At 40.8% G+C, this 22812-nt stretch overlaps 1 protein-coding gene and 1 long non-coding RNA gene across 5 annotated transcripts; one reads left to right on the top strand and one right to left on the bottom strand.

Moving 5' to 3' along the window:
• Window positions 375–2738, bottom strand: IRS4-AS1 (IRS4 antisense RNA 1). Its single transcript, NR_110652.1, has 3 exons — window positions 2687–2738; window positions 1399–2013; window positions 375–849 (listed from the first exon to the last, which is right to left on the bottom strand). It is a non-coding gene; the product is annotated as an IRS4 antisense RNA 1 (long non-coding RNA).
• Window positions 2715–19332, top strand: IRS4 (insulin receptor substrate 4). 4 transcript variants are annotated; one of them, NM_001440817.1, is made up of 3 exons: window positions 2715–6699; window positions 16251–16276; window positions 16755–19332. In NM_001440817.1, the coding sequence occupies exons 1-3, from the start codon at window positions 2934–2936 to the stop codon at window positions 16863–16865; spliced, it is 3903 nt and encodes a 1300-aa protein (NP_001427746.1). In that variant the 5' UTR covers window positions 2715–2933; the 3' UTR covers window positions 16866–19332. The 4 variants fall into 4 exon arrangements, with proteins under 4 accessions (NP_001427746.1, NP_001366079.1, XP_006724776.1 ...); NM_001379150.1 differs by lacking the exon at window positions 16251–16276; XM_006724713.4 differs by having other exon boundaries at window positions 7381–19332.

The following is a 22812-nucleotide window of genomic DNA, read 5'->3' as shown; positions in this document are numbered from 1 at the left end:
TGACAGGATGAGACTCCATCTCAAAAAAAAAAAAAAAAAGAATAGTGGAATACCGTTTCACCCATCTTATCTCTAATTTTTTAAAAATAAGAATGTCCAATGCTGACAATCAGTCTGGTGACAGGGTAAACTAATATAATATTTTTGAAAAATAATGTATTAAATATTCATATCTTTTAGCCTACTAATTCCAGTGCTCAGTTTTTACCCAATGGGAATTTTAAAAGGCTGTAGGTAGAAGATATTCATTGACATGTTATTTATAATACTGAAAAAAATGAAAACAACCTAAATGCCCCAAAGCAGATGATTAATTACATTAATATTCATCGATTGTGTTGGATAATATGTTGTATTTTAAATGATATTTATGCTGATGCATAATAATATGGGGAAATATTGTATAATGTTCAGTGAAAAGAACAGGATGCAAAATTATATAAATTGTAAGCCTACTGCTCTATGTAAAAACTATATGTACAGGAAAAAGGACATGAGGATTTAAAAATCTCCAGTATTTTCCCATTTCATTTAATATTCATTTTGATATTTTCAATGTCATGTTATTACTCAAAGCACTTTCAAATATGTTGCCTTATTTGTCACATTTCTCTTTAAAAAAAAAAAGAAAAAAACCTTGTGCTTGGAAAGACTTATAAAATATCCTAATGACTATCAAACAAAATCCCAAATGAGAGCATTTGTTATCATTTTGGTTGTAAGTGCAGGGAATCTTGTATATATGTGACTACGCAGCTGAAATATGTAGCAGTCACAGTCAGGGATCTCTCAGCATCCACACTCGTTCTGCCTCTAGCTCCCTTCCGAAACCACGGCTGCTTCCAGCACCTGTGAATATATTGCACTTATAAACCATTGGCAGCAGAGGGAATGTTATTGAATATTTGTAATATCTGGGGGACAACCCAAACCAATTTCTTTTTCTCTTAAATTATAGCATCAAAAAGGAGCCATTTATTCAAATACGTGTGTTCTGTTTCTAACAGAGCAAATTCTTAAGAGGGCAGAAATATGGTTTATTTTTATGATATACATATTGCCTAGTTTACTGTTGGATTTTATAAATAGTACCCTTTGCCATATCAACCCTAGAGCAAGGGTGAACTGACATTCCATTCTTTCAGAGAGAAATGCTGTATTTCTCTCCTCCTCTCCCTCCATTCCTCTTTGCAAACCTGGTCACTCCTTTGATAATTCACGACCCATCTCCACCATTAAGAGTCTAAAATCCTAGTCAAGTAATAACTGGGGTGGTGGGGGAGAGAGGGAGAGGGAGAGGGAAAGGGAGAAGGAGAGGGAGAGAGAGAGAGAGACTTGAGGAGGTTGCACTTACACTCCGGCAGTTTTTCCAGAAATGAGGGAGGCAGTAGTTCTTACTTTTGTGATGTCAACTTGTAGACTGAAATGCATCAAAGCTCCTCTTCTTCTTCTTGTTGACGCGAGGGATGTGAAATGTGCTCTAGAATATGCATTCAGCGTGGTCCTTTGTTCTAGGTATGAGCTTTTCTTTTTCTAAAGTTTTTCGGTCTCGCTCAAGGAAAGGAAAGCAATATTTTGAGATTCTTTTAAAGGCACCTTCCAAAGCATTTCCCACAGAAAAATACCTTCACAGCCCAACACTGGTTATTTCAGTAAGAATCGAGTCCAATTTTTTCCAATATGGCTGTATACATTGCAGGCCCCCAAATTTGTGCTTTCATAGTCATCGTTAATCAAATAGGCAGAAACACTGTATTTAGGGAACCTGTGTTTCGTGGGCTAGAAGTGCATTCTGATTAATAAAGATCATGTTCATTTTGAATGCATCGCTGTTATTCGTGTGCCTCAGAGTCGCGGGCTTCTGTCAGGGGTGCAGCGGGCTCGGGAGTGCCTGCAGAGCGGTGGGAAGCAGTTCTGAGCGCCCTGGTCGTCAACCCGTTTTCAGGGGGTGCCGACACTTTCTCCCAAGAAGCTCGATCCGCCGCCTTGTGCGGCTGGAAAGAATGAACCAGACTGTGACAGGAACAGAGAATTTATGTGATTGACAGGGAGTACCAGGGCACCCGACTCCATCCCGGGTCACCACGGCTCTGGGATTTGCACGAGTTTACCACCACCATTAACAGCTATTTGCGTAAGGTTGTTTACCGCCTGAGAGCGCCACAAGCCGACAGCGAAGCCACTTTGGGACCCCAGCCACGCCCCCTCTCCCCTCTCCCCTCTCACCCCTCCCTCCCGCCAAACTAATGATTTCGGGGCTGCCTTCTTGCCGGACCCTCCCATTGGCTCCTATCCCAACCAATCAGAGCCTTGCAACAGTTTCACCTGGCTCCCGCTTCCCAAATAAACAAACAAACTGTCCCGCGACTGTGCCCGCTCTGCACCCTGGCGCCGCAGGCAGGCACTGCTTGCGCTACGCCCCCTCCCACCACCTCCCACCAATGGGGCCCCGACTGTGGCGCCCTCTCCCGACCCTGATAGCCGGCCGCTTTCTCCTCCGCCCCTCCAGGCCTTCTCCCGCCCCCTCATGCCTTCCTGGACTCCCTGTTAGAATCAGCTTGGCCAGAGAGCCCGCCTCCTCCTCTCGGTCCTCCCTTGGCCCACAGGCCTGGAGATTGACCGGGAGGATTTGGCACAGCCGGAGGTGGCTCCGCCTCCCGAGCCCGCCGTCTCCTCCCTTGCTCACCTCTACTGGTGGCCGCTCGCGCCCCTCCATTGCGCCGGTAGCAGGATCCGCAGCGGCCGCCGCGTGAGGCTGTGGTCACGTGTTGTTTTGCCCGCTGTCGTGCGCTCAGAGTGGAGTGGGCGGGGGCGCGGGCCAAGGCAGGAGGGGGCTGGGGCGGGCAGACGAGGGTAGACAGCCTCTTCCCCCAACCCTCCCTTTCCTGAATTCCCCCTCCTCCTCGCTCACCTTAAAACCATCGTGCATCACCATGGCGAGTTGCTCCTTCACTCGCGACCAAGCGACAAGAAGACTAAGAGGTGCAGCAGCGGCGGCAGCGGCAGCTCTAGCAGCAGTGGTGACCACCCCGCTTCTTTCCTCGGGAACCCCGACCGCACTCATTGGGACCGGGTCGTCTTGTCCGGGAGCCATGTGGCTCTCCACGGCCACTGGCTCCCGGTCAGACTCCGAGTCCGAAGAGGAGGACCTGCCCGTCGGGGAGGAAGTCTGCAAACGCGGCTACCTGCGGAAACAGAAGCATGGGCACAGGCGCTACTTCGTGCTCAAACTCGAGACTGCTGACGCCCCAGCTCGGCTGGAATACTACGAAAATGCCAGGAAGTTCCGGCACAGTGTCCGCGCCGCGGCGGCTGCAGCAGCGGCGGCCGCCTCTGGCGCCGCGATCCCCCCGCTCATTCCACCGCGGCGCGTGATCACCCTATACCAGTGCTTTTCCGTGAGCCAGCGAGCAGATGCAAGGTACCGACACCTCATTGCTCTTTTCACCCAAGACGAATACTTCGCGATGGTGGCCGAGAACGAGTCGGAGCAGGAAAGCTGGTACTTGCTGCTCAGCCGCCTCATCCTCGAGAGCAAGCGCCGCCGCTGCGGCACGCTCGGCGCGCAGCCGGACGGAGAGCCGGCCGCGCTGGCGGCGGCAGCGGCGGCGGAGCCACCCTTCTATAAAGATGTGTGGCAGGTAATAGTCAAACCCAGGGGGCTGGGGCACAGAAAAGAGCTGAGCGGCGTGTTCCGGCTGTGTCTAACCGACGAGGAGGTCGTGTTTGTGAGGCTGAACACCGAAGTGGCCAGCGTGGTCGTCCAGCTCCTGAGCATCCGTCGCTGTGGACACTCGGAGCAGTATTTCTTCTTGGAAGTAGGCAGGTCCACTGTCATCGGTCCGGGAGAGCTCTGGATGCAGGTCGATGACTGTGTGGTTGCCCAAAACATGCATGAGCTGTTTTTGGAGAAGATGAGAGCCTTGTGTGCAGACGAATACAGAGCCCGCTGCCGCAGCTACAGCATCAGCATCGGCGCCCACCTGTTAACCCTGCTGTCCGCTAGGAGGCACCTGGGCTTGGTGCCGCTCGAGCCGGGAGGCTGGCTCAGAAGGTCCCGCTTTGAGCAGTTTTGCCACCTCAGGGCCATCGGCGACGGGGAAGACGAGATGCTTTTCACCAGGCGCTTCGTAACACCCAGCGAGCCTGTGGCCCACTCCAGGCGAGGAAGACTGCACCTGCCCAGAGGGCGCAGGTCAAGGAGAGCGGTTTCAGTGCCGGCCAGCTTTTTTCGCCGCTTAGCACCCAGCCCAGCACGTCCCCGGCACCCTGCAGAAGCCCCGAACAATGGAGCTCGCCTGTCTTCTGAAGTGTCTGGTTCTGGCTCTGGCAACTTTGGGGAGGAAGGCAATCCCCAGGGCAAAGAAGATCAGGAAGGAAGCGGAGGTGACTACATGCCTATGAACAATTGGGGCTCAGGAAATGGCCGGGGCTCAGGAGGTGGCCAGGGCTCAAATGGCCAAGGCTCCAGTAGCCATAGCTCGGGAGGAAACCAGTGTTCAGGCGAGGGACAGGGATCCCGAGGTGGTCAGGGCTCAAATGGCCAGGGCTCAGGAGGAAACCAGTGCTCTAGAGATGGCCAGGGCACCGCAGGTGGGCACGGTTCAGGTGGTGGCCAGAGACCTGGAGGTGGGCATGGCTCAGGTGGTGGCCAGGGACCTGGAGATGGCCATGGCTCAGGTGGTGGCAAGAACTCTGGGGGGGGCAAAGGCTCAGGAAGTGGGAAAGGATCCGATGGTGATGGTGAACGTGGAAAATCTCTGAAGAAAAGATCCTATTTTGGCAAATTAACTCAAAGCAAGCAACAGCAAATGCCACCACCTCCACCACCTCCTCCTCCACCCCCACCAGCTGGAGGAACTGGTGGAAAAGGGAAGTCTGGGGGAAGATTCAGACTTTATTTTTGTGTTGACAGAGGAGCCACGAAAGAATGCAAAGAAGCCAAAGAAGTGAAAGATGCAGAGATCCCAGAAGGTGCAGCTCGAGGTCCCCACAGAGCCAGAGCTTTTGATGAAGATGAGGATGACCCATACGTGCCAATGAGGCCAGGGGTGGCCACCCCTCTTGTAAGCTCCAGTGATTATATGCCAATGGCTCCTCAAAATGTCTCTGCTTCAAAAAAGCGCCACTCTCGATCCCCTTTTGAAGATTCAAGAGGGTACATGATGATGTTTCCCAGAGTGAGCCCACCACCTGCTCCGAGTCCTCCAAAAGCACCTGATACTAATAAAGAGGATGACTCAAAGGACAATGACAGTGAGAGTGACTACATGTTTATGGCTCCTGGAGCCGGTGCAATTCCAAAAAACCCCAGAAATCCTCAGGGTGGCTCTTCCTCCAAAAGTTGGAGCTCCTACTTCTCTCTACCAAACCCTTTTCGGAGCTCACCTTTGGGACAGAATGACAACAGTGAGTATGTGCCAATGTTACCTGGAAAGTTCCTGGGGAGGGGCCTAGACAAAGAAGTCTCCTATAACTGGGACCCCAAAGATGCAGCTTCAAAGCCTTCAGGTGAGGGATCATTCTCAAAGCCTGGAGATGGGGGATCACCTTCAAAGCCTTCAGATCATGAGCCCCCAAAGAATAAAGCTAAGAGACCTAACCGACTTTCTTTTATTACAAAAGGATATAAAATCAAGCCAAAACCACAAAAGCCCACACATGAGCAGAGAGAAGCTGACAGCTCTAGTGACTACGTCAACATGGACTTCACTAAAAGAGAGAGCAATACACCAGCTCCCTCTACTCAAGGACTACCAGATTCGTGGGGCATAATTGCTGAACCCAGACAGTCAGCCTTTTCTAATTATGTGAATGTTGAGTTTGGAGTGCCATTTCCAAATCCAGCAAACGACCTCTCAGATCTTTTAAGAGCTATACCACGTGCCAACCCCTTATCTCTGGACAGTGCTAGGTGGCCACTTCCTCCCCTTCCCCTCAGTGCTACAGGTAGCAATGCTATTGAGGAAGAGGGTGACTACATTGAAGTAATTTTCAACTCAGCAATGACACCAGCCATGGCTCTTGCTGACAGTGCCATTCGCTATGATGCTGAAACAGGTCGAATCTATGTGGTCGACCCATTTTCTGAGTGCTGTATGGATATTTCTCTCTCCCCCAGCCGATGTTCTGAACCACCACCTGTAGCTAGGCTGCTGCAGGAAGAAGAGCAGGAGAGAAGACGCCCACAAAGCCGTTCTCAAAGTTTCTTTGCAGCAGCCAGAGCCGCTGTCTCTGCTTTTCCAACAGACAGCCTCGAGAGAGACCTTTCCCCATCCTCAGCCCCGGCTGTCGCTTCGGCTGCAGAGCCGACTTTAGCCCTCAGCCAAGTTGTAGCTGCGGCCTCCGCGCTCGCCGCAGCCCCGGGCATCGGCGCAGCAGCCGCAGCTGCTGGATTTGACTCCGCCTCTGCCCGCTGGTTTCAACCTGTTGCTAATGCTGCTGATGCCGAAGCAGTAAGGGGAGCCCAAGACGTTGCCGGTGGCTCGAACCCTGGAGCCCACAACCCATCTGCAAACCTTGCCAGAGGTGATAACCAGGCTGGCGGGGCTGCCGCTGCAGCTGCCGCTCCGGAACCACCACCTCGCAGTCGCCGGGTGCCAAGACCCCCGGAGAGAGAAGATTCTGACAACGACGACGACACTCACGTGAGAATGGATTTTGCCAGACGTGATAATCAGTTCGACTCTCCCAAAAGAGGTCGGTAATTTTAGAATTAATTTCCCTAAAGTGAATGGTCATTGTCTAATGATTCGATGCGCTACAGTCTACAGTGTTAGGGATACTATTTCATTAACTGGTGCTATTCGACATGGAGTATAGAATTCAGTTTTAATTATTCACAAATGCCTTTTTGATCTTTGCAAAAATTTGTTTTTATCTAATCAATTTCTTTATCTGGACAGAACTGATTATCATTTAAACACTGGTTCTACTTTTTTAGGAGTAGTTAAAACGCAGACATAAAAAGCATAAGGATACTTTTAAACATCCTTCCCCATCATTTAATGATAATGTAAAGCAGGATATCGTAAATTGGGTTCCACCAACTAATTTTCAAATCAACAATTAAAAGCTGCTTTTCTGCAAATGCCCATATTTAAGTGTAGGAATTTAATAAGAGCACAGACTATTAAGCAGTAATAATCAACTATTTATGTTTAGGGAGGATAATTTTCTCCTCTGAAAGTTACTTTTTAAAGAGCAGTCGTTGTTGTGCTAGTTTGCTGTGATTTACCAAGAAAGTTAAATCTCAATTGTTAACGTGAATGTCTGGGGGGAACAAAACATAAATAATCCAAAACAGGAGGTGATTAAAAGAAGACAGTATTTGGCTCTGGAATGTGTTTGTGTGTTGATTTTCTTTTTGTTTTTACACAGGATAAATTCCAGAAACCTTGAGTGTTCCTTTTCTCTGTCACTAGTAATGACAGGCAAGTCACATTTGCTGTGCCTCATTTTCTTCTTTTAACCCCCCACCCTTCTAAAAGAGGGTGTGGTGACAACTTGAGAATGGATATGAATATTATTTCAAAGGTTTAAAAAGCAGTTAAAACATTTAATTCATATATCTTATGGGAAATCAAGGAAAGCAAGATAAGGCTGGAGGAAGACCTGACTCCAGGGGCAGCTTACCCTGGAATGGTGGAAGTTTTTAAAGGGCTACTTTTCCAAAGGAAGAAGTAAGGAAGAGTAGGAGCTGTCAGACTTGGAAACAAGACTTAGAGTAATTCTACTGTGTACAACATTGTGGAATGTTGTCATCAGTGTGTCTTGAAACATTTTCAAGAGATGATTGCAGAGGATGATGTCTCCATAGTCTCAACTACCTTGCCTCTTAAGTAGAATATGCTTCTTTCCCAGTGAAGGGAAGGGATGGACCCCAGCAGTTTTCATTCCAGTAGTCAGTTTAGTGAAGATTTTTGCTTTGCTTGCTTTGTGGAATGCTTTTGTGATTGGATCTCTGCCCACTGTGCTTGATCAGGCAGAACAAGTCGGGCACTGATCACAACAGTCACCTAACAAGCTCCCTATTTAATGCAGGTGTAGCCCCCCCACATCCCCTTTTTCTCCCTGCTATAGAAAACTTGCCATACACAAACTCACATTTGCAGCGTGGACACATTAAAGAGTGATCATTAAAACAACAAAAGGATGCTTTGGCTTGCCAAAGGATTCAATTCAGACCTCTTTTAAACTGTGAGTTCCCTCCCCAACACACACACATACACACACACACAAACACACATGATCACCACTGCTACCATAATCATACGTTTAAAATATATAATTTCATTTCCAAGTCTTTAATCCATAATAAGATTTTCAAGAGTAGATCTACTTTATTCTGTAGAATATACCTGAAAATTGATCTCAATCTATTGTTTGAGTCTAACTATTGAAGACACCATTTATAATTTTGATGTAGATGATACACAGTTGCCTGTGTCCCTGTAGTACTTTCAAAAGGACCAGTTTTCATAGAGGTTTATTTTAAGAAGTTTAAGATTTAAATAGTGAAATCTTACTGTTCCTTGAATAAATTCTGACTTCCCAAGGAATACCTAGACACAATGATCATTATTTTAGCATAAATTCCTGATTTATGACTTTGTAGCTATTTTGGAGATTTAACATTCTGTAAATGCATTGTTTATTGAGGAAATTCCTAGCTTTATTGAGTGACTTTAGCAAGGAAGCTCTATCTCACAGGGAGGCAGGCGCTTAGGTTGAAATAAGAGAATCAACGTGGAAGCACTTTGGAATGTTAAAGCACTTTACAAATGTAAGATATTTTTAGTGTCATTGGATTAATACTGAAGTGAAATTTCGGCAGTTTAAACTGATTCAGTTTCTTGCAAAATAATTGATCTTGAGGGTGATTCCTGCACATAATTTGCTGAAATACATGAAAGGAATGGTGGGGATTGCCGGCGGGGGGGTGCGGGGGTGGGGGTGGTGGTGGTGGTGGTGGTGGTGTTGATGGTGGTGAAACAACCCATTGTAGGAAATGACTTTGGTTAGCATTTTAATGTAAATTGTATGGTAGAATGTTGTCTGTGAAGTGTTAAGAACAAGCTGAATGATTCTGATCCTTTTTTATTGTAAAGCTGTAGAATAATTTTCACTCATTTCTGATCTCTATTTTCCTATCTAACATTAAAACAAAAACAATCACGTTAGGAAACAAAAACATAATGCTTTGACAGAGGAACAAATACCATCTTTATTAGAAGTTATGTATTTCAAAAAGTCATTTTAATTGATGGCAGGTGCTTAGAACAGTGCCTGGCATATAGTAAGTACTATACATGAATTATTTTACAGTTATTGCCATTGTTATTGTTGCTACTGTTATTATTACATTTAGAAAAACAAACCTAAATTAAGATTCTCCATCTGAAAATCTCACTTTTCAGTTAGTCTTTACTTGCATTTAAAATACTTTACATTATTGTTCAGTTGGCATGTTTATAGATTACCATTTAAGTGAAGTGAGATTATAAATCTGTGAGACAGCTGTTCTCATGTAACACAAAATTAATATGTAATTCCATTTACCTACAGTCACATTGCGTATAAGTAAGTACAGTAAAGGAATTTACTCAAGTCGATTAGAAAGAAACACCCAGAAGTATAACCTTAGACATGACTGTATTAATAAATGAAATAATTTTTAATCATTTATTAAAGATGAAGTCTTCACATTTTAAACACATAGGTTATAGGCATTAGCATTTAGGAGAAGAATGTTGTTTCTTATGCAGTTTAGTTTGACTGTTAACCTATGTATGACTATTTGCTTCTTTTTCTACCTTACCTGATGTACAATTCATAGTTCAAAATGACTTGAGGTGAACATTTTCCTGGTTTTTTTATTCAAGAGATGGGAGGATATAAAAGGGCAGCTCTAGGAGGGGTGAGAGAATCGGTCAGCCAAATTAGTAATGTTATGATGGCACTTGGTATTAAAAAGCAAAAAAAAAAAACTTTAGTAATTAATTTTTCAGTGTTAGACACTGTTATCACCATGAAGGAATCATGCTTCTTTTGAGTGTACTACTGCCAAACTTGTTGCTATCAGTTATAGGCACTAAGAGCACATTGTTTTTATTCCATTGAAGTTAATTATTATAAAAATTTCCATATAGCAGAAATTTCCCAGCTACCATTGACGGATCATTTATTTTAGGTAATATTCAACACCTCAAAATTGGACAGTGTTTGGACTAATGAGGTATTTGTCCTCTAACAATTAAAGAGGACTTCACTTAATTAAAGTTAACTAAAGTTGTTCACAATCATTATTCATTTGCATTCATTCTATTTTAAGAGTGATGTTTTCAGGGTAAAAATTTCAACTACTAGCAAAATACTTACCTTAAACAAGGACCAGAACTTTAATTAAGCACACCAGAATGTCACACATGTATAAAAATTCGAACGAGATCTCTTACTTTCTTTTTCTCTCCCTAATCCCCTGTTTTGGGAACAAACTTAGGCTTCTCAGAGTGACAAAAAAATAATTCCTGTGGGAATAGATGTGGCTGACGAGTGTAGGGAGAACTAAGGAATAGTTTATGTGATTTAAAAGGGTCTATTGTTAAATTGTCAAATTGTTGATTGAGGAAATGCTTTCCAGTTGCAGATTGCCTTATAGTTTGCAAAGCACATTCACATTCATTATTTTACTGATGGATGGTAAGTACTGGAAATGAAGCCCATGTTGAGAATTTTCCCAAGATCAAAAAGGTAAGTGGCAGAGCTGAAAATCTAACTCATACATCTGATTTCAAGTCCAGCACTCCACCCAACACATGACACCTCCCTTTAATCAGGTGTTTAGTCTGTTATTTTCCCACTGGTGACAGATTATTACATGGTTAATGATTAGGAAAAAATTACAAGTTTGCTTTCACTTGATAGTAGCAAATTTTGTTGTAAGTAATTCATTCAGAGCATTATAACTGTGGACTATCTTCCAGGACCTGGGTAATTTTATTACATTGAACTGTTTGCCCTGGCTCTTAGAATAAAAGAATTTGACTTGTGCTGGAATTGAATGTTTTAAATCTGATATAGGGAGGAGTTGGTTAATCTTCACTGCCCAAACACAAATAGTGTATGTATCTATTTAGATCCCACAGAAACATTGAAAGGAAAGAAAGTGAATTGAGGGTGCATTCAGTAAATTTCCATTAATGGTCATTTCTTTAACTGAAGTTAGATTTCTTTGATTTTCCTAATAATTCATTGACATTTGGGAGTTATAGCAAAAAGTCTTTTCATTTAATTTCTTCCTTCATTATAAAATTTGGTATTCTGATCTAAATCAGCACAGTAGGCAAAACAGGATAAAGTAAGACAGGTGGAAGAATAAGCAGTGTAGCAATAGACGTTCTTCATTTGTTTAAAAAGTGAACTTGCTTTTGGCAGTCAGGCAAGTAGATTTTAGAAGCCTTGAAAATCAAACTCTCTCCTTGGGACATAGAAATCCCTGTTTACAATTAAGTTCATTTTGATTTAGCACCTTTTTTAAGGCTTTAAGAGTATATAAAAATAGCCCAGACGTTTTATTGGCAGTATTGGAAAATAGCTTTTGTAAAATGCTTAATTAAAACTTTCAGTATATTTTCTCTAAGAGGTGCTGCCAGACTCTTAGATAGTGAGGATCATTTACTAGAAAACGTTGCTTGGTCTTGAATGAGAAATGAGAAATTTAAGACACTGCTTTTTATAATAATGAAATAAATACATCACAAAGCACTGAGTTTTTGCCACAATCATTGGATTGCTGATTTTAAAGCTATTGATAAAATTGCCAAGAAAAATGTGCTTGCCATATGAACTTAAAATATATTCTCCAGCAATTCTGCATTGATTATTGGTAATGTAGCTACAGGTCTCACATTTCCACCTTATTTTGGAAAAATAGACTCAACACTTGAGAAATAGGAATGTTTAAAGATGTTTCTAGTGTAAATTATATACTGTTTTAGATATGCATTTTTAGAGGGTACCTTTCAACTTCTGGCTGAATAATTAATTTCTTTTAGAATGGAAAACATGTACTTAAATACTTATTAAGTGAAATGAGAAAGTTACTGCTATTTTCTCTTAGCTTCCTGATACCTCTTTCTTATTGGTTAGGGTTGCATTGGTTGTGTTCTGTGAGTCTTACCCTCATGTGCCCTTTGCCAAACTTGTGCCCTTGAATTCAGGCAAACATGCCCTTTCCTGGTCTCTCTCTGGCTGAAAAGGTGAGGGCCACTGTGGGAGTCCTGCAGGGCCCATAGAGGGCTTCGCCAGATGTTGATCACTCCCAGTACACAGCCTTCTTGCACTTAGCTTGCAGAGGCAACCTTCCTTGTAGGGATCCTTGTTGTACAGATCCAAGGCTGTGCTGCCTGCCCTACTGTCACTTGGCACAGAAGCAGCTGGGCCGGTGTTTAAAGCTATTTTCATGGTTGGATTGATCACAATATGTTTGATGCCAGCCACACCTTCTGGATTTACCGAATATCTAATTCCCTATATATTGTAGTCACTTTAGCTAGTTTTGACAATTTATATAATTTTTCTCCTATGATTAATAATTTCCTACTTATAGACTTGAAACTTAGAATAACAGTGAAGTTTCCATCTCACAATTAATCTTGAAAATTGCTCACATGTGTATCCATGGGGCCCTTGAAAGTCTGACCAGCAAATGTGATTTTTTACTCTTGCTTTTTAAAGTTTTATGCCTCCAGTCTTGAAAGCTTACCAACCTTGTCCTCGCACTCAGAGTCCTGTGCCCCCACCCACCTCCATGATGAAGTCCTTATTGTTGCTGCAGCTTTTACCATAGTTTCCCTTCGGCTGTCACCCTGCCTCCGACTCTTCCAACTGGTTGAGTATGGGGGACACAATTCCTATTGCCATGGCTGGAAGACATATATTCCTGGAGTCTCAAACTGAAACTTCACATACATCTTCCCTCAGAAATGATGACTGGGTATAGTCAAAATAGTTCTCTGTTAGTTCAGGAGTTGCATAGGTTAAATATAGGCATATCTAGACAAAGCTATAAACCTATCCACCATTAATTTATGACATTGTTTCTACAAGATAATTTATTCTGAGTTTCAACTAAACAATGACCTTGGAATATGTCTGTTTTGTAAATTTGAAACTGCCTATATTAGAATTCTAGTAACTTGCATTCTTTAAGTTGGCAGTAACTAGGCAGCAGAGTGAAGTGGCCCATGTGTGTGTTGGGAAGTAGTGGAGAAGCTGACCTACCATGAAAATCCTGTAGCTGATCTCCATAGAGTTTGTATCCAGATACTCAAGACTGGAATGCACATGCATAAGTGGCCCAGGGCCTGCTAACAAAGGGCAGGTGTAAAACGATTGAGCTGACCTTTGAGGAGATGGGGGTTTACAAGTGTCATACATTTCCCTTACAGATTCTTTTGAGCATTCTGTCCCAAAACTATTGCCATTGTGGGAACAAAGGTATTTTATCATCCGATCTATGAAGGAGATAATAGTCTGGTATAATTGGTGTTGTAAAGACTAGCAGCGATTATTACTAGTTTTTAGCCTTGAGCAATAGCACTTAATTTTATCAAGTCCTAGAGAGTCATCCTCCTCTACAATCACAGGGCACAGAAAAGTATGATGATCCTTTCTTATTGAGAAAAAACAAAAAAACCTACATATACTCCAGAGACAATGCTAAGCTAACTAATATAATTGCATTATTATACATTCATCTTTGGCATGTATGCTTCAACATATCTTTCTTTGCTTCCCTTTTTTTTTTTTTTTTTGGTGCTTTACTTGGTTGCCCCTGCTTATGTGAGCTCCAGTTGATCACAGGGGTGCAGGGATAGCATGTTGTCAAATGAACAGAGTGAGGAATTTGCAAAAACCCTTGAAAAACATTTTTGAGCTCCAGGAAAATTGGAGCTGAAAAGATAACTAAGACAATAAGTTTGCAGAAAGGGAAAAGAGAATGAGAGAATAACAATATATTGTTATAGGTTCACCTTTCTCTGAGCAGAGGAAATACTGCTGTTTCGGACTTCAAAATGTAATAGAGGCATATTTATGATTCATATAAAGAGGTCTGAAATACCCTGGAGGAACTGCCTACTTGGCTCACCCTACAAATTTCCAGGGATATTGAAGTCATCTGTGCATTATTAGCGTATTAAAGATTAATGTTCAGGTTTATATCATTATATAACTCGAAACAGAAAAGTTTACTTCATTTGTTTTTGAGAAAAAAAAGTTCCCTGCCAGATTTTGGTAGGAGGAGTAGGGAAATATTTTGACTCATCAGAGTCCACTGAGGTTTTCTATATTACAGAGAAAAATTACCTGAAGAGTATACCACCCATTAAAAAGGGTGAAATTAACTTGTTGTTTAAAAGACCTTTGATTAATTGGGAAAATAAGAATATACAATAAGGTAAGTATTTATAACCTGTCAGTATCAAATGGGAATAATACATCCAAAACAGACCACATTATTACAAGCATCACCATTTACCTTGCTGATGGTGAAATCACATAAAAATGAACGGGAGACAAATCTAAGGTATGACTTTTAGCCCTTTAATATTCATTTTGCAGACTGTTCACAACCAAGTTTTAATCTCGAATTGCTTTCCTTTGCCACCCAGCAAGCTTCTGAGTTGCTTCCTTACGCTGTTCTTTGGAATGTGCCCCGGGAATGTAAACTCATTTTAATATTGGCCTAAGTAAAATAGGATTATAAAGGCAAATCTGTGGCTCAAGTTCCCATAATGCATTTCAAAAGCAAGTTAAATTATTTTGGGATTATCCTGTTTGGGATAACATTATTCCTTTCTACTAGCATAGTTAATCAAGAATTGACAAATGTATTTTGTGAAGTAAACATGAAATTACACAATTATTTGTCACTTTTTATTAAGTTACCAAACATTCACTTAATGCTGGTGTAGGTGTTATAGGAAAGCAATGGCAATATGAATCAAATTTTAGTAGAGGCTCTGTCATTTAAAAAAAGGAAAGAGAAAGAAAAACAACTCCAATAAAAGCAAATGTTCCTAATCTTAGTATAATGCCAATAGGGTAGTTATATGGAGCTTAATTTGCAGGTTTCTGGGAAAATATATATGAAATCCAGTGTATCATATAAGACAGCAAGAAGTCCCTTTTAAAGCACATGCAATGTGCTATATATGGACATATGAAAATATTTTTGGTATTAAAACAAAATAGTAAACTAAACTAGGTGAAATACCTTCCTAACCTTAAATATCTATTTTAAAATGTAGCTGATATCTGATAACACTGTAATACTGGTACTGGTCTAGCCTAATTTTGCAGCGAATTAACAGTTACTAATATGCAGTCTCACAGTTAACTGTGGTTATCACAGACTCCTTTCTTCCTGTGTAGAACTAGATACATAAAATGTAAAATTTCCTAAACCCACTGCTGACAGGAAAGCTTAATACCTTTACTAATCTATGGCATTTTTTTGAGACAGGGTCTCACTCTGTCACCCAGGCTAGAGTGTAGTTGCGCGACAGGGTTTCACCATGTTGCCCAGGCTGTTCTTGAAATCCTGGCCTCAAGGGATCCACCTGCCTTGGCCTCCCAAAGTGCTGGGATTATAGGCATGAGCCACCATGGCTAGCATTTTTTTAAACTTCTAATCTACAAGAACAAACCTATACATTGAATCTTAATGAAGAGACACAACTAGTAAGAGGGAAATGTACTGTTCCCACTCAGTGCTTCATCCAGCTGCAAATTTGTTACATTTTAAAAATCCTTGAGCCCAGGAGTCTGGGTGGGGCTGCAGTGAGCCATAATGATGCCACTGCTCTTCACCCTGGGCAGCATAGTGAGACCTCATCTCTTTAAAAAAATTGTAAAACCTTTGATGAGAAAATGAATACTTAAAATGTATATTTCCAGTTTAATAGACAATCTTGTACTTGAAGCCCACTCTGGGGGATGTTTTCCATGGATTCTTTTAAGATGTCTCAAATAAAATAGAATACTTGGTACTTTGTGGTGACCTGATCTTAAGGTAACACTGGCATCCCATAATCAATTTGCTGATCATTTATTCCTATCCCTTCTCTGGTCCAGCACCTTCTTCTATGTATCTGATCACCCCCTGCCACACTCCCCATTATGCACCCACTCAAAAGCAGAAAGCCAAGAGAATAATGCTGGAACTTTTTTCTTTTATTAAACAGATGGGAATTTCAAGTCTCCTTTGCAGGTATGACTTTGTTCTATTAGAAGAAATTCAATGATTGAGTCTAGAGACCATCACCAATGCTGTACTTAAATCCTATGACTTGTGCCACATAACCTGGTGAAGGCAGAGTCAAACATGTAGAAGAAGAAGAAAAAAATCTGTTTCTCTGCACAATGCCTGGCTCACTCTTGGGCTCCACTGGAAGAAAGTAGAACAGTGCACGCACGTGCAAAGATGCTGTCCACCAGAAATGTCAGTGACAGCCTGGGGGCAAGAAGAATAACTGCCCTTGTGTCTTTGCCCAGCTGATATTCCTCACAGGCAGCCAGCAGAGTTGATTAACCATGTCCATGCCCAGGCAGTCTCCTCTGTATATCTCTCAAAAACTTCTAGTTAGATTTTGTTTTGTTTTGTGTTGTTTTGTTTTAAAACAGGGTGGGGGTGACAGCTCTCCACATTAATTCTGCAAGTAACTTTTGTTTTATTATCTTTTTCCTAGAGTGATTATATTGCCACAAAAACACATTTTAGAAGAAAAGTGATGCTTATGGAATTTTATCTTCGTCTACTCCAGATCTGCCTAAAGGAAAGAAAACTCAGAGGCTTCTGAGTAGAAAGCAACCCAAATTTCTACAAGCCTACAAGTGGACTCTGGCAATTGAATGATCCTATTCATGCAGATCATTCATACTGCTGCTTATGGATCCAGTGATTTCTAATTAACAATATTTACACTGTGCTTTGTTTTTTGTTTTCTGGTTTTCCTCCCCAGTCTGTCCCTTTGAAAGGAAACAGATACTATACAAGTGAGCATCTCATAACTCTTTCCCTCTTTAAAAAAAAGTAACTTAGAATACATATAAATTTGGTCAATGCCAATTTTAATAATGTAAAATATTTAGATTCAATTTTGAAGTTGAAAAACTTTAAACCAGGGCACATAAAGAAAAAACAGCTGTCATAATTGGAAGGAAGGTATGATCTGGAATCTTTTTTCCGAGTATTACACACACAAAACATTTCTTGATCAATGAATTAAATGTCAACTGAACTGATATCTTGATGGGGCATTACCAGTATTTTAAAGGCAGGACTAAAGGGCAGATTATTTCAAGTTTTGCTCATTAGCAAAACTGCAACATTCTGCTCATGTTATATGTCAATGAAACTAATATCTTGATTGAGCATTTCCAACATTTTAAAGGCAGAACTGAGAAACAGCTATTTGTTCACATACAACACTGTGATGTTCTGCCTGAAAATCGATTGAGTATTTCCAAACCTATTATTTTTCATTTATTGTGAAACCTACATTTACCTCCTAAAAGAAACAAAGCTCTTCAAAAGTCTCTTCCCAAGGCCCCTCCCTGCTTCTCTGGGCCTCTCCCCACTTTCAACCTCTATTCTACTTTTTCTTATTCTTTCTCCATTTTCCCCAATGCACACTCTTCCTCTTATGCCCATGGCTACTATAAAGAGATCAATTTCCCATATTCAAGAAATTAGTGTTTACTTATCAATCAATATTCTGACAAAAACTTAAGCCAAAAAGAACCTCTTATAAGGCCTTGTTTCCTTCTGGATATTGAGCCAATATAAGATGTACCAAATTAAAAAAAAAAATCAGAGCAAGCTCCCCCCCGTTCTATTTTTGCTTGCCTCTGATGTAAACTGAATTAAGATTTTAGGTACCTGGACCTTTGAGAACGTGACACTAGCAAGGTGGTGACCACAGAGAATAGGTACAAAGGTCTTGAAGCTTGCTTAGAGCTTTGTTCCGTGGTGGCACACAAATCTTGGCTTGCTGTACCATCATTGGCAAACCTCATCATATCACAGTTGGGTGTGTTTGTATGTGTGTGAGCACTAGTGTGTGTGTGTACATATTCGTGTGTATGCACACTTTGTGTACCTGTGTACATGTGATTGTAGATGTACCTGTTGTGTGTAAACTCTGTTAAAATGAAATTTGCTTCGCATTTAATGTGCAACTTTGAAGTAGTGTAATATTTATCTAAAGGTTTTCACTACTTGGTTTTAATGTCTTTGAACGTGTACTTCTATCTTCAAGCAAGCTTATAGTACGTGTTGCTAAACTAACTTTTCCAAAGAACCGAGTTGACTTCTATTTTTCCTTGCCTACCAACCAAAGGGATGGTGGGCTCTTTTTTCCCTCTTGTAAATTGTGCTGAGGAGAGGACGTGGCTATGAGATCAGTCATTGTTCCAGTTACTGGTCACTGCTAGGGCATCAACTTTATCAGTTCCTTCAGACTCTTCTCTTTTTCCAACCTAATCAAATAACGCAGTGTGGCTTTTGTTCATTATAACAACGCGCTCTTTAGGCAACTTTTTTTCAAGCCTTCTGTCACCATTTTATTTTTTCAAGTAAGTTAAGTAATAATTGTTCAGAATTGTGGGAAAAAAGATTACTTGGGGGAAAATACTGTATCACTTTATTTGCATATTAGGTTCAGAAGCTGCCAGCAGACAGGGTACAGAGGGTACAGCACAGATGTAACAGTTGCTGAATAAATGAATGAGAAACCTCATACACAGTAGTACGTATTATACAAATAGTAACAGGTACACATAGTCACAGGTACTGCATAACAAATGCAATCTTGTTCTCATTATTTATTAGTTTACAGACAATTAATTTATTCAGTATTGTGCTGGAAGAATCTTTGTGGAATATGTTTACCAACTTATCACTTACCTTCCAGCTATCAGTTCATGCTGCTAAGAAAAAACAATGATGGAATATTTTTGTGTGTGTGACCTCTACATTTAATTTGATATCAGGCATAGTCACTTGGTCGTTAAAAACTGAAACTTTACAGTTCCACCAGCTAATTACATCTGCTATTTCTGCTTCACAGATATGCTTTGAGTTGCTTTGGCTTTGTCTTCCTTTGTAAATACTCTTGTACTTTCTTTTCCTTGTAAACATCTCGTTTGCAGTTTTGGGAGACGACTTTGCAACTCTGTATAGTGTTTATATATATATGTATATCTATATATATCTGACTTGCCTTTCCATACAGCTACTCACAATAAATGTGTTCATGTAAATTATTCCTGTAGAGATTCATTTTTTAATACTATTGTCTCTACTTTATTATAAATATATTTTCCTGCTTTGTAGTAGGATTGACTGCATTTTTCAGAATGAAACAAATGGGGTATTTTAGGGTTTGGGCTAAAGGTACTTTGCCTAGAAACATGAGGCTTTTCAATAGAGTCAATAAAGTCAACTCTTGATTTTTCAAATGTAGAGGTGATACTAGTGTAGAACAATTTATAAAATGACTTACCTAAAATTTCATGCAGACCTTGGATAATGAGTGAATCCTATATTGAAGCAACTACTCAAGGAGGTTGAGGTGATCATTTACTTTTTTTTTTTCTGTCTCCTTCCCTTGACACTTAATCTTGCTCTTTAAATTACTCTTTTTTTTTTTTTTTGTTTTTTTTGAGACGGAGTTTCACTCTTGTTGCCTAGGCTGGAGTGCAATGGTGCGATCTCGGCTCACCGCAACCTCCGCCTCCCAGGTTCAAGCGATTCTCCTGCCTCAGCCTCTCAAGTAGCTGGGATTACAGGCATGAGCCACCACGTCCAGCTAATTTTGTGTTTTTAGTAAAGACGGGGTTTCTCCATGTTGGCCAGGCCGGTCTCAAACTCCTGACCTCAGGTGATCCACCCGCCTCAGCCTCCCAAAGTGCTGGGATTACAGGCATGAGCCACCGTGCCCGGCCTAAATGACTCCCTTTTCATTTTCTTATTTTTAACCACTAGGAAGGCAACTGTGAGTACATGGAAAATATACTCATCACAGACAAGAAAGTATGCTTGCACTGATGGAATATAGGATAGATGGGTTGAATATCAATAATTTGTTAGCAAATTATAATGCCTGCCTTATTGGAAACCAAAAGTTTAAAAGAACTCTAGAAAAATAATTGGCCCCTACTCCTGATTCTTTCTTTACCAAATCACCCTTGCCACGCAGAAGGGCGGTAAGAGTAAGACTTAGAGACCAGTGCCTGTCCAAAGAAGGCATCTGTGGGATCACATGGGCCACAGGATAGGAAAGCAAGTCACGAATGGTGTGCAAAAATCTACAAGGTACATGGATTGTCTATATACAGACAATTAAGTTGATTGTACAGCTTCACTTCACTTGATGCACCTAGGGGGGATTTTGTAAAACAATATCTACATCACAATAGGAAGGTGTAATTAGACTGCCTTTATATTAGAAACTGTTAGAAACTGTCTACAGCAGAGACCATTTTAGGATCAGTATATATTTACATACCTATATATACATATGTATATATACATAAACTTTAATCCTCACTTCAAGGGGGCAATCTATATTTGCCAGGGCATAGTCCAAATATACTTTATTCATCCAAACAGCCCCTCAAAGACAAATAGGTACACCTGTGCTTCTCAGTCCATCTGATTTTGTATACCCCTTTGGGGGTTTACATCTTAATGGGACTTGAATTCCTGAAACAGTAACCATAGTCTGTTGCTGCTTAGACAAATCATCAGAACTCACTGGCAGGAAGGATCACATTCAAGAGTGCATAAGCAGAACTTCAGCTTCCCCACTCTCCTAGACTCATACATGCTAACCAAATGTTTGCTGTAGAATGTGAAGTAGTACTGTTTCTTTATAACATAAAACCTGTTCATAAGACTTGTCAGGTAAAAGATGCGTAAGTGCACAGTAGTTAAACACCTCCCATGACTACTTGGAAGAATATTACCAGGTACTAATTGAGCCCAAAGAGCATCTTGGAAATGCACCAAGATGCTTTTTCATAATGTTTTGAAAACTTACATCAGCATAGTGTGGGACGAAAAGGAAAAATAAAATAAATGTTTTGAAAACAAAGCAGACAAGAGGCACAACCTGGAAAATGTGAGCATGAGAATTTGTATGGGTAAGTCAGATCATGGTCCTTAATTTATAAAATGTGTAAAAGAGAAATTATGTAAAATTAATGCACAGAATGAGATGGAACTGTATTCTGCTTTAGAAAACCCAATTCATCCCCCGCCAACCCCGCAAGATATGCATGTTAATGGACGCTGGTTTTCAGGCAGCTACCTTAAGTCCCAGTTTGCTGCTTAAATGTACTTCAGAGATAAGAAATGCAACTGAGCTATACAAAATGAGACAACTTCCCTCCTGTCTCTTGTGCATGATAAATGCTAAAGCAATTAGGAACCACTGTTGCATGCTACATTGGAATTTCTCAGCAACATCAGTGCCATTCTATGTAAATGGGGAAAGCTTATTTAGAATAAAGTCCTGAGAATTTAGGAAGAGACCATTGATTTTACTTAATATTAAATATTTGGGTCCATAGAACTGAACTAGAAGCAATACCCTCCTTCACTTTTCAATCTCAGAATATCCATTATAGGATCTTCTATTTCACTGGCAAAAATCTGAATTAGCATTTCAATAACAAAAGGAGCAAGGAAATATTGAATTGGAAAACAGATTCTTAAATATCTACAGAAAAAAAAATGTGAAGTTTGCAATTCATTCTGTATTTCCATACTTGTAATCCCCAAGAACGTTTTCAACATTTTTGGATTTTCTGCATTATTTTCAAGGAATTAAAAGTATGTAGGCCATTTAAAATATATCCATGCTCAGACTTTTGTTATAGTTGTTTTAACTTTCTCACAAGAAGCTAGGGACTATCTTTCTAACCTTGTTTTTCATTCTGTTTTCCCCCTCTTTATATTAAGGTTATGCTCATTCCAGGAACACAGGAGATATTGGTGGTGGTGCTTAGTGCTTAGAATTATAGCTAAATATATTACTTTAATTACAGTAGATAAAACTCATGTGTGATATAGATACTTGAAAAAAACTTTTTTGAAAGACTACCATGTCTTTTTGTGGATGTGTGACAATGACACTTGGTCAACATTTAGTCTTGAAACAGTCTAGTTTGACTCCATAACACTTTAGAAAATGATAGTTGACTGTGTATAGAGTGGATATTCTGGAATTGGGTTTAGAATTGCAAGGAATCTTAGATATAGTATAGACCAATCCCTATTAGTCTTCAACTATGTCTCTGTTCATTTACTTCTCTCCCTTGGAGAAGTTATTTTAATCATCTTTCCTAGCTATTAAAGTCCTAATAAAAGGGCTTGCAGGGGAATGGGATGGAAAGATTTCTTCTTAAACTACAGTTTTCTGACTCATAGTAGTCATGGAAAATGAAAGTTTGCCATATAGGATTTAAAAGGAATATTGTCTCCTCTCCCTCCCTGTTATGATTCTCCCTACCTTCAACAAGAAATGGCTTAATTTCACATGTGTTCACAGGACTTCTTTCTGTGAATTCCAAGACTTTAAAACCATTTTCCACTTTCCTCACTTATGATAGGAAAAGTAAAACCCTATCCTGCTAGAATTAAATAAAAACACATGTTAACTGAAGTTCCAGTTGAGAGAAAACTGAGACACAACTGAGACAAAAGATTAGGCCATCTTAATACAAGTATTCATATTGCAA

This window comes from Homo sapiens, chromosome X, assembly GCF_000001405.40.
Source record: "Homo sapiens chromosome X, GRCh38.p14 Primary Assembly".
Classification (NCBI taxonomy): Eukaryota; Metazoa; Chordata; class Mammalia; order Primates; family Hominidae; genus Homo; species Homo sapiens.
The sequence above is the reverse complement of the archived record's forward strand: the minus strand, read 5'-3'. Positions and strand labels throughout refer to the sequence as shown.